The sequence below is a fragment of the Homo sapiens genome, chromosome 16, assembly GCF_000001405.40.
Source record: "Homo sapiens chromosome 16, GRCh38.p14 Primary Assembly".
Lineage (NCBI taxonomy): Eukaryota > Metazoa > Chordata > Mammalia > Primates > Hominidae > Homo > Homo sapiens.
In genome coordinates, this window is record NC_000016.10 from 19091717 (window position 1) to 19103988 (window position 12272).

Consider the following 12272-nt stretch of genomic DNA (forward strand, 5'->3'; position numbering starts at 1 on the left):
GATGTTTTTATAAGGGGCTTCCCCCTTTGCTGGGCACTCATTCTTCTCTCCCCTGCTGCTATGTGAAGAAGGACGTGTTTGCTTCCCCATCCACCATGATTGTAAATTTCTTGAGGCCTCCCCAGCCATGCAAAACTGTGAGTCAATTAAACCTCTTTTCTTTATAAATTACCCAGTCTCCAATATGTATTAGCAGCATGAGAACGGACTAATACAGGGACTTAAGCAATCCACCCCTGCCTTGGCCTCCCAAAGTGCTGGGATTACAGGCGTGAGCCACTGTGCCTGGCTCAAGTCAGTGACGTTTGGACTGGAACGACACTATCAGCTCTCTTGGGTCTCCAGCTAGCCAACTGCAGATCTTGAGACTTCTCAGCTTTCATAATTGCTCTGAGCAAATTCTTTATAATAAATCTCTCTCTCTCTCTCTCTCTCTCTCTCTGTGTGTGTGTGTGTGTGTGTGCGCGCGCGCATTGGTTCTGTGATTCTGTTTCTCCAGAGAACCCCAACAATTACAAGACCTCAAGATGAGTCAGTGATGAGTTTAAGGCTGAATGACTAGGAAAACGATCAAAATATAGGACAAAAATAAGGAAGTCAAGGGAAGTGATTCATTTCAGGGGAAGTTTTTTTGTTTATTTTTTCATTCACAAACATTTATTTGGCATGTGCCCTGTGCCAGATAGAATTCCAGCCACTGGGGATTGAAAGTTCCACACAGTTGCCTAAACTAGAGGCCAACATGTATTCTTTCTTCAGCCTCACCCTCAACATCTAATTAATCTTAAAACCTGAAATTTCACCTGCTTGCATTGCTTTCAAATCTATTTCCTTGACAGGTAGAGAGGTTTGGAAGGATGATCCTCAACTCGTTGGAGTCATTGTGTCTCCCTTTCAGATCCACAGCAGTTAGTAATGATTTCACTTATAGGTCAGAAGGACCATGGACCTATTTGAGGCATTTGGAGATTTATCATATGTGAAATTAGGAAATTGAAAGTTATTGGGATTGATCAAAGCACATGAACATAAAATATACTTCACATCTCCATACTTCTTAAGGTGATGAAGAAGGGTGTGGCTGATGATATTGTTTGTTGAGGGATCTGATAGTGTCCAAAGAAAAATTATCTGCAATTTTCTTTTCCCTTCCTTCCTTCTTTCCTTCCTTCTTTCCTTCCTTCCTTCCCTCCTCCCTCCCTCTTTTCTTTTCTCATTTCTTTTCTTTTCCCTCCCTCCCTCTTTCTTTCTTTCCTTCCTTCCCTCCTCCCTCCCTCTTTTCTTTTCTCATTTCTTTTCCCTCCCTCCCTCCCTTCCTTTCTTTCTTTCTTTTTCTTTCTTTCCTTCCTTCCTTCCTTCTCTTTCTTTCCTTCCTTCCTTCCTTCTCTCTTTCTTTCTTTCTTTTCTTTCCTTTCTTTTTCTTTCTCTTTCCTTCCTGCTTTTATTTCTTCTCTCTGTCTCTCTCTGTCTCTGTCTCTGTCTCTCTCTCTCTCCTGTTGCCTAGGCTGGAGTTTAGCTCACTGCAACCTCTGCCTCCTGGGTTCAAGCAATTCTCCTCCCTCAGCCTTCTGAGTAGCTGGGACTACAGGCTTTAGAACTGGCGGCTTTATAAGAAGAGAAAGAGAGATCTGAGCTAGCACACTCAACCCCCTTGCTCTGTGATGCCCTGTGCCATCTCGGGACTCTGCAGAGGGTCCCCACCAGCAAGAAGGCCTTCACCAGAGCGGCCCCTTAACCTTGGACTTCCCAGCCTCCATAACTGTAAGTAATAAATTATTTTCCTTGTAAATTACCCAGTTTCAGGTATTCTGTAATAAGCAACAGAAAATGGACAAAGACAATCACTATTTTTTGAATCAATGAATATTGAATGAATTATCTATAATAAACAGAAATACCTGTTAGGTGAACAAAAGTCACAGAGTAGGACAAGGATCATTCTGTTAAAATAACTCTGAGTAAACATAGCTGCCTGCCTTTTCCATCCCTCTGTGTGGTTAAGATAAGCTGTGCCTAGTTTGGGCTTTGAGTTTTCACTCATGCAAAGTGAACACTGGCTTCCTACTGGGCATGGTGTGGACTGGAGATCCCAGGTGATTGACAAAGTGGATATTGTTCAAAACCTCCTAAAACATGCAGGTGTTGAGGTGGTCCTTCATGCAGGGTCAGAAATGAAACACATCAAATTAAACCTCAGGTGGCTTTGCAGAAGAAATGGAAGGTAGATTATGTGCTCCGCACAGCCCTGACACGAGGGCAGGGCTGACGATCCATCACTTTTAAGCGCACGGTGTGGCGTAGATCACCTCCAGCTGCAGGAAAAAAAGGCTGACCTTTAGATAGGGCTATAAAAAGAGAGCCAAATTCACTCCTTCTTTGCTCACAAAGTGCCCTCAACAAAGGAGGAAAAATGAAGGACCTCTGTGTCCAAGAGCCAGGTACACAAAGGCGACTCGGCATTTTGTCAAGCTGATGGTCAGAGCATGAAGTGACAAAGAAGGTGGCTAGGCTTGGGGGAGCCTTATGTGTCTAGGTGAGAAGCTGCCAGTGTGACTGTCAGCAGAGAGGAGCATCTTGTTAGTGCCAATCTTGCAGCACGATCAGGTGAGCAGGGAGGTGGTTTAGAAAAGCTGCTCAAGAGGTTCCGGAGCAAGGAGTCCCAGATCACTGGGAAGTTAGCTTTTTTAATTTTTTTTTTTTTTTTTTTGAGACAGGGTCTCGCTGCATCCCGGAGGCTGGAGTGTAGTGGCGTGATCATGGCTCACTGCATCCTCAACCTCCTGGGCTCGAGTAATTTTCCTGCCTCAGCCTCCCGAATGGCTGGGACTACTGGTGGGCACAACCATGCCTAGCTATTTTTTTTTTTTTTGTAGACAGGGTCTCACTATGTTGCCCAGGTTGGTCTCAAACTCCTGGGCTCAAGTGATCCTGCTATCTCAGCCTCCCAAAGTTCTGGGATTACAGGTGAGAGCCACCATGCCCAGCCCGAGGTTAGTTAGCTTCTGAGGATTTAGAAGTTACATCCACATTTCCATGAATTCAACGGGTTGGGGTAGGTTGAAGGATATTATGCCCTCTAGCAAGAGTATTTGAAACTGCAATGGACTCCAATATTTCTAAGCGAGAGTTATTGAAGGTTTCAGAGTAAGAGACCTGTTCATTCTCTCCATCTCTTTCCATGTGGAGCTGAGGTCGGGGGAGGTTCCAAGGTCAGCCAGGATGGTGAAAATCACTATTGTCAAAGACGCCCTTGAGTACAGAGTCTCCCAAGAACTCCATACACATAGTTTATTTTTTCCCAGGGCCGGAACACATCGCTGCATTTCTTCAGTTGAGCTCTATCAAAAGTAAAACCTTAGACAAATTAAATTTAACAGAGTTGAATTGAGCAAAGAAAGATTCATGAATTGGGCAGCCCTTGAAACAGAATAGGTTCAGGGAGACTCTGGTGCAGCCACGTGGTCAAAGAAGATGTATGGACAGAGAAAGGAAAGTGAAAACGGAAGTGAGGTACAGAAACAGCTGGATTGGTTACAGCTCAGTGTTTGCTTTATTTGATACGGCTTGAACAGTTGGCCTTCTGTGATTGGGCAAAACTCGGTGATTGGCACATGAGTAGTTTATGGTCTGTTTATACCTCCAGTTAGGTTACAGTCCATTATGGATGGAGAAACCTTTACACAGAACTAAAAATATGTTAGGAGGCAGCTTTAGGTTAAGCTTAATTTAACAGCTCTGTAAGACATTGTTTCTAGGGATGATGTTGAAGGAAAATAGAAATCTTTATTATTATTATTTTTTGTTTTGTTTTTGAGACGAAGTCTCACTTTATTGCTCAGGCTGGAGTGCAGTGGCGCGATCTCGGCTCACTATAACCTCCACCTCCCGGGTTCAAGCGATTGTCCTGCCTCAGCCTCCCAAGTAGCTGGGATTACAGGCACGCACCACCATGCCTGGCTAATTTTTGTATTTTCAGTAGAGACGAGGTTTTAGCATGTCGGCCAGCTAGTCTTGAACTCCTGACCTCAAGTGACCTGCCCACCTTGGCCTCCCAAAGTGGCTTTAGGCTAAACTTAATTTAATAGTTCTGTAAGACATTTGTTTCTAGGGATGACGTTGAAGGAAAATAGAAATCTTTAAACATGAGTCATACCCAGCAGGTGGGGAAACTGGCCTAGCCTGAGGGGCCAACAGCCAATTTCAGTTCCCTTCTCACAGGCCTTTCAAAGATTCACAGGTAGATGGACTCCCCGGCAATGTTTGTGACTTTCACATTCTTCCATATTCTCCCTCTCTCTCTCTCCCTCTTTTTTTTTTTTTTTTTTTTTTTTTGGTGAGATAGAGTCTTGCTCTGTCACCCAGGCTGGAATGCAGTGGTGTGATCTCGGCTCACTGCAACCTCTGCCTCCCAAGTTCAAGCAATTCTCCCGCCTCAGCCTCCTGAGTAGCTGGAATTACAGGCGCCCACCACCACGCCTGGCTAATTTTTGTATTTTTAGTACAGACAGGGTTTCACCATGTGGGCCAGGCTGGTCTCGAACTCCTGACCTCAAGTGATTTACTCACCTCAGCCTCTCAAAGTGCTGGGGTTACAGGTGTGAGTCACCGCGCCCAGCCTCCCACTCCTTTCTCGCTCTGTCCTCTTTCTGCCATATACTTATAGCTGAATTCACATAAATTAAAAGTGTCCCTAATTTGACTTTACTATATTCCAGACATCGACAATGTCCGTCCATTTTCATATGTTCCATTTTCATTTCTAAGTATTTTCTTCTGAAGAGTCTTAGAGGTACAAATTACCAAATTGTAAACATTGTAGGCTGGGCGTGGTGGCTTCTGCCTATAATCCCAGTACTTTGGGAGGGTAAGGCGGTTGAGGGGATGCGGGGGTGTTACTTGAAGCCCAGAGTTAGAGACCGGCCTGGGCAACATAGCCCAGACCTAATCTCTACAAAAAATAAAATAAAATAAATTGAGGTGGGAGGATTTCTTGAGTCCAGGAGTTCGAGACCAGCTTGGGCAACATAGCAAGACCCCATCTCTAAGAAAACAAAAAACAAAGAGCATTGCGTTTAGGTGTCATTGGATTTTGTGATGAGGCTTCTCTGTTTCACCCTAAGGGAAAAACTGGAAGCGATTTGGTTACCCATGGAGGCATTAACATAGCACGAAAAAAAGTGACCGATATTCCAAACCAGCCACCTTTTCCAGATCAGAAGGTTCCAGTTAACCTGCTCATCATTAAATTAGTATGCTACAAGGCCAGGGGGTGGCTCACCCCTCTAATCCCAGTACTTTGGGAGGCCGAGGCGGGTGGATCACTTGAGGTCAGGAGTTCGAGACCAGCCTGGCCAACATGGCGGAACCCTATCTCTCCTAAAAGTACAAAAATTAGCTGGGTGTGGTGGCACATGCCTATAATCCCAGCTACTCAGGAGGCTGAGGCAGGAGAATCCCTTGAACCTGGGAGGTGGAGGTTGCAGTGAGCTGAGATCAAGCCACGGCACTCCAGCGTGGGCAACAGAGTGAGACTCTATCTCAAAAAACAAACAAGCAAACAAAAATGAGTATGTGACAACTCTTCTTGCATCTTTTCTGAAAATTCCTGCAGTCTTATCCCATATCTGCTGAAGGCAAAAGCAGACACTTGTGTGAAACTCAACTTCAGCACCATCTTCTGTGAAACCCAACTTCAGCACCATCTTCTTTTTTTTTTTCTCTTAAGACAGAGTCTTGCTCTGTTGCCCAGGCTGGAGTGTAGTGATGTGATCACAGCTCACTGTAGCCTCAACCTCTTGGTCTCAAGTGATCCTCCCACCTCACATCCAGCTAATTTTTAAATTTTTGTGAAGAGAAAAAAATTTGCCCAGGCTGGTCTCAAACTCCTGGGCTCAAGCGATCCTCCCACCTAGGTCTCCCAAAGTGCTGAGATTTACAGGTGTGTGTCAATTTCAGGTCTGACTGGATCCAGAAGTTCCAGTGAAGCCGATTTCTATCTCTAGTCTTTGTGATCCTTTCCTCTCCAGCAAGGCTTTTCCTTGCCATGACAAGACACCTGGCAGCATCTCCAGGCTTACTCAACCAGTACCCTTGATGGGAAAAGGGCTTTTCTTTCTTAATTTTCCAGCAAAAGCCTCAAGATTGACTCTGGAGTAAATTGCACATGGCCTCAAATTCTTTGCAGCTCCTTCCACTATGAGGTGGCATGTATTACTCCAATCCCTGCATCTGGGCTGGATTTGTGACTTGTTTTGAACAATAGAATGTGGTAAAAGTGACAGTGAAAATATATGAGTTTCAAGCCTAAGACAACATGCTTTTCAGCCTTTGCTCTGGATTTCTTTGAATGCTGCTGTCACATAAACAAGACTGAAATAGCCTACTAGAGGATGGGAAATTACATGGAGCAGAGACAAGCAGTCCCAGGTGTGGAACCCCTAGACCAGCCAGCTTACCAACCACCAGACATGAGAGTGAGACCATCCTAGATCACTCAGCTCCAGCCAAGCCACCAAGAGACCACACAGATCAGCTGAATTGGCCTAGGCCAGACGAACCACTCTGCCAACCCACAGAATTACTAAAAATAATAAATATTTGTTAGTGAAGACTTCAAGTTTGGGGATGTTTGTTATGCAGCAGAAGCTAACTGATACTCTCTTATTGGGTCAGCTTGGATCACTTTCCCACTCTGAAACACACAGTGAGCAGAGGGGTAGTGGACAGGCCTAGGCCATGTGTTTTTTCCTGGAGTTGGCCATTGGGGCCAGATCAATGAACTGAGAACTGGGGAGGTGTGGAGAAAAATCAGGGTGCTGTCACCAGAAAAAGGGAGAAAGAATGCCAAAGAGAATGAAACAAGAGACATCCACTGGAGTATTCTAACCCCATAATAGTAATTGATGAAAGTTTGAATTTATGGTCTCAATTCTAGTTCTCATTTGTAAAATAGACCCAAAGACAGTGCCACCCACTTTGATATTCAATTCAAAGAATCCTTATGATGTAGAAGTAAGGGCACTGGTGTGGGAGTCAGGTGGAACTGAGTTCAAGTTTTGGTTCCATCTGCCCATATTTGGATGCACACAGACACATTTTAGAATCCTTCTGAATTTCAGTTTCCTCATCTGTAAAATGGGTGATGATGTTAATACTGACCTTAAAAATTGGCCATGACACTTTGGGGGGCCAAGGCAGGAGGATCGCATGAGTCAAGGAGTTCAAGACCAGCCTGGGCAACATGGTGAGACCCCTGTGTCTACAGAACGTTAAAAAATTAGCTGGACATGATGGCATGCACCTGCAGTCCCAACTAGTTGGGAACCTGAGGTGGAAGTATCACTTGAGCCCAGGAGGTCGAAGCTGCAGTTAGCTGTGTTTGTGCCACTGCACTCCAGCCTGGGTGACAGAGCAAGACTCTGTCTCAAAACAAAAAAAACAAAACAACAACAACAAAAAAAAACAAAACAACAACAACAAAAAAAACTGGCTATGAGTTTTAGTAATAATGCATATGCAAAGCACAGCACTTGACACATAGCAAGGGCTTGAGAATGTGGACAACTGTTAAGCATGAGTTGAATCATGAACTGTGGATGCACCCATGTGCCAAGAAATCAGGTCTCAGTAAGTAGGTGACAGAATTTGCCACTGTGCCTATCTAGAGAGCAGGAAATATGATGGTTCAGGGCTTCTCTGCTGTGTTTCCATCCACTGCTGCAGAGTCTTTTCTTCCTTCTCCACCAGAAATATGCAAACGTCAAGTGATCCTTTCTTTAGGCATCAAAACACACAGGATCCTCTTGGCTTTGGGAATATAAAAGAGTCATTCTTTTTCTCCTTAGGATGAAACTGATGGAGGATTACTTGCAATAAAGGGAATCCTGGACGGGACATGGTTCTGTTCCTGCTGGTTGGGAGGTCGTGACAACTATGTCTATGGACACATAGTCACAGGTTGTGTGTGGCTGGGCTATAGTTTAGGGACATCTGTCTAACCATCCATGTATTTAGTAATGACTTAGTGACTTCTGGTGTGTTGATGCAGGTTTTTCTTTCCCTCAATGTTTTAGATTTCATGAAGCATTAAAATTAATTCAACAATTATTTATATATTGAGTGACTATCTATGCCAGGCACTGGATAGGTAACAAGGAACAAAGCAGACAAAAGCCCTGTCCACATTTTTGAGTGGCAGAAGGTAAAGTATTTGAGGGATTAACCTAGAATTGCCAACTTTTCATTTTACTAAGTTAGGACTTAAGGAGAGAAGAGAAGCTGCTTTGACTGTCATTAGTATCAGTTTTCCCCTAGAAGAAAATGGTTATTTTCATGTCCAACAGAGTGGAAGTATATATTCTTATTTTTTTTAGTGGCTTAAAACAATAAACATTTATTATCTCACGCAGTTTTTGTGGGTCAGAAGCCTAGAAGCAGCTTCACTGAGTGGCTCTAGCTCAAGATCTCTCATGAAGTTGCAGTCAAGATCTCAGCTGAGGCTGCATTATCTGAAGGCTTGACTGAGGCTGGCAGAAGTGATTCCAGTATGGCTCAGCACACACCGAGCACGTTAGTGCTGATTGTTGGCAGGCAGCTTCAGTTTTTCAGCATGTGGGCCTCCTCACAGGGGTCCTTGAGTGCCCTCACAACAGGACAGCTGTCTTCTTCTGGAGCAAATTATCCAAAAAGAACAGATTTTTGAAATAACTATACTGAAACCACATCCCATACAGATTTAAATTATTGGGATTCAGCTACCCAAACAAAAATGCTCTGGGGTGGGAAGAGAATGCTTTATTTTATGTATGTGTGTATGTATGTATGTATGTATAGATAGATAGATTCTCACTCTGTCATCCAGGCTTGAGTGCAGTGGTGCAATCACAGCTCACTGCAGCCTCAACCTCCTGGGCTCAAGGGATCCTCCCACCTCAGCCTCCTGAGTAGCTGGGATTCCAGGCACACACCACTGCACCCAGCTAATTTTTGTATTTTTTTGTAGAGACAGGTTCTGCCATGTTGCTTAGGTTGGTCTCAAACTCCTGAGCTCAAGTGATCTTCCTGCCTTGGCCTCCCAAAGTGATGGGATTACAGGCTTGAGCCACCACACCCAGCCGCAAACGCTTTGAATAGTGTTGGCAATCTCCCTCATCTTTTTACTGATGTAAAGGGATCATGTCCCTCAATATTTGCTTTTTTTTCTTTTTTATGCTAATGAAACACTTACATTTAGCAGGACACATGGAATCCAGGATAGACTACATTTCCCAGTCTCCATTGCTGGTCTGACATTATCTTACATTGTGAGCATCACACTTTGCTGAGTGTTTAAAGGTATATATTATTCACACAACTTGGCTCCTAAACTCAAACCAACTTCTTCATCAAATGCTCAACTGATCATTCTCCCTTAACATTATATTTACATTTTTCCCCAAACAGAGAGAAATGGAAGGAACTGTGTAGTGAACACCCATATACCCACAACCTAGATTCTACCATTAACGTTGAACTCAACTGGCCTTATCTCATGTCGATTCCTTTATCCACCCCCTCTCCACTCATCAATTCATCTTATTTTTTGATGCATGTTAAAAGCAATTGTTGAGGTCAGTATACTTCACCCGTAACCCCTTCAGCATGCACATCACTCGCTAGAATCCAATACGTGTTTATGATTTTTTGAGATCAAATCTAGATACCGTGAAACACACAAGTCTAAAGTGGACCATTCAATAAGTTTTGACAAATTGTAATTCAAACTCCTACACTGATAGAACAAAGGTAATTTGAAGTAAATACACATTTTATTTTCTATGTGCTGACTTAGAAATGTCCCTGACCTGTAAGATGAGACTCCACTGTAAATTGAGCTTTACAAAAAAAAAAATCCCATCATATGTCTTATTTTGTTCCTCTTGCCTCAAACCATGGAAAAAAAGCATCAGACATTTATTTGGAAAAACTTTCTTGAAGCAGTGTTTAGGGTGATTAAAGGTATAATGTAGGAAGCATAGGTTTGAATCTGGCTGCCTGATCTCATACAATGTATGTATCCTGGCTATGCCTTAGTTTCCCTGTCTGCAAAATGGGGATAAAGATAGAACCTACGGCCAGCAAGGTGGCTCATGCCTATAATCCCAGCACTTTGAGAGGCAAGGTAGGAGGATCACTTGAGTTCAGGAGTTTGAGACCAGTCTGAGCAACAGCGTGAGGCCTCTTCTCTTTAAAAAATTAAAAAATTAGTGGGGAGTGGTGGTGCATGTCCATAAAGTTGTTCTTTTTTTTTTTTTTTTTTTTTTGAGATAGAGTCTCGCTCTGTTGCCCAGGGTGGAGTGCAGTGGTGTGATGTCAGCTCACTGCAACCTGCACCTCCCAGTTCAAGTGATTCTCCTGCCTCAGTCTCCTGAATAGCTGGGATTACAGGCGCACGCCACAATGCCTGGCTAATTTTTGTATATTTAGTAGAGATGGGGTTTCACCATGTTAGTCAGGCTGGTCTTGAACTCCCGGCCTCGTGATCTGCCCGCCTAGGCCTCCCAAAGTGCTGGGATTACGTGTGAGCCACCGCACCTGGCCCATAACGTTGTTCTTTGCCGGGAGGGCTGAATGAGTTAAATCAAGTGCCTAATTAGAACACTGCCTGTCCCCTAGTAAATGTTCAAGACAGCTGGCTCTCATCACCACAATGCTAGCAGGAGACCAGGAAGAGGGGGTCTTGTGTTTGACATGTTAACTTTGTAGACAACGGCTTTCTGCCCTCGGTAGCTTTATGTCCTACTCACATCTGAGTTTCTTTGGTCCCGTTGGCCCTCCAGGCAGAAATTTAATGACTGTCAAAATTCTCACCATGACATCACCAGACAATGTCAGCGGGAAGTCGGCGTCCATAAAATGACTCGAACTAGAAGAACTGGACCAGGTGGGGGATCGGGTTCTCAGTCTTTAATTGTGTTGGCTTTATAGTGTAAATCTCATGGCCTTGGAGTTAATATCGTACCAGTTTATTGGCACCAAATTGCATTACAGACTCATTAGCTCTCTCATGGCCCTTCATCTCTGCCACACCAAAGCTTTCCTTTGACTGATGTTGGTTTCATTATTCATGACTCTTATAGAGACAGTGGCCTCTAAAATAGAGACCAGGGAAGAGCATTTTTCTTTCTTTCTTTTCTTTTCATTTTTTTTTTTTCAGACAGAGTTTAACTCTCATTGACCAGGCTGGAGTGCAATGGCACAATCTCCACTCACTGCAACCTCTCCCTCCTGGGTTCAAGTGATTCTCCTGCCTCAGCATCCCAAGTGGCTGGGATTACAGACATGCACCACTGCATCCAGCTAATTTTGTATTTTTAGTAGATATGGGATTTCTCCAAGTTGGTCAGGCTGGTCTCAAACTCCCGACTTCAGGTGATCCGCCCACCTTGGCCTCCCAAAGTGCTGGGATTATAGGTGTGAGGCACCGTGCCTAGCCGGAAGAGCATTTTTCTAATGAAAGGTTCTTTAGCAATCCAGGGCTACTTTGCTGGACTACTGAAATAAGATTCATTCCTTCTTTTGTTCTGTTGGTCTTATAGGTAATTGAGTACCTATAAGACAGACATGGACCCTGCTCTCAAAGCAACTTATAATATATTTGAAAATACACTTAATTAGAAATCACAATTAGCATGGGACTGATCCAACAGTGGCTCATGGAGCAGATACTGTTGGTTGCCTACTATGGCAAAGGGTGATGAGTGTCCCCCAATATTTATTCTCTTTCTTTCTTACAGTAATGAAACACTTATGTTTAGCAAGACACGTAGAATCTAGGATAATGAGTATATTTCCCAGCCTCCTTTGCTGTTATATGTGGTCATGTGTCTAAGTTACGAGATTTCTGCAAAAGATTTCCTTGCTGTAAAATAGAGATCCCGCTAAAAAAAGAGAGTCAACTCAATAAAGTACCAGGCATGGTGCTAGGTCCATTTTCTGATGGATGTTGCTATGTCTGGATGTGATGCCTAGATCCATGGCTGTCACTGTGTAACCAGGAGGAAAGTTAGTCTGAAGATATCAGAGCAGAAAGATGGAAGGAACTTGACATCATGGTTGAGCCATTTAATAAGCAAGCCTGGAGCCACTCCACCTCCAGATGTCCAGTTAGGTAAGGTTGTAACATGTCTTTGTTGTTTAAATTAGAAGAGTGAGGGCCTTCTGTTACTTGCAGACAAGAGCATCCTAACCAAACAACATGGTACACAGAGTCCATCGTGGCCTGCCTTGTGGCA

At 43.8% G+C, this 12272-nt stretch overlaps 1 long non-coding RNA gene across 1 annotated transcript, besides 2 other annotated features; it reads left to right on the forward strand.

The window, feature by feature from the left end:
• The first annotated feature begins 219 nt into the window (after positions 1 to 219).
• LOC124903656 (uncharacterized) lies at positions 220 to 6610 on the forward strand. Its single transcript, XR_007065010.1, has 2 exons — positions 220 to 1761; positions 5956 to 6610. It is a non-coding gene; the product is annotated as an uncharacterized LOC124903656 (long non-coding RNA).
• Positions 3397 to 3606: an enhancer, noted in NCBI's record as "active region_10524". NCBI's record gives its function as "activates an Ori minimal core promoter by ATAC-STARR-seq in GM12878 lymphoblastoid cells {active_cell/tissue: GM12878}" and the evidence as "EXISTENCE:reporter gene assay evidence [ECO:0000049][PMID:35858748]".
• Positions 3997 to 4056: an enhancer, noted in NCBI's record as "active region_10525". NCBI's record gives its function as "activates an Ori minimal core promoter by ATAC-STARR-seq in GM12878 lymphoblastoid cells {active_cell/tissue: GM12878}" and the evidence as "EXISTENCE:reporter gene assay evidence [ECO:0000049][PMID:35858748]".
• Positions 6611 to 12272: the final 5662 nt, after the last annotated feature.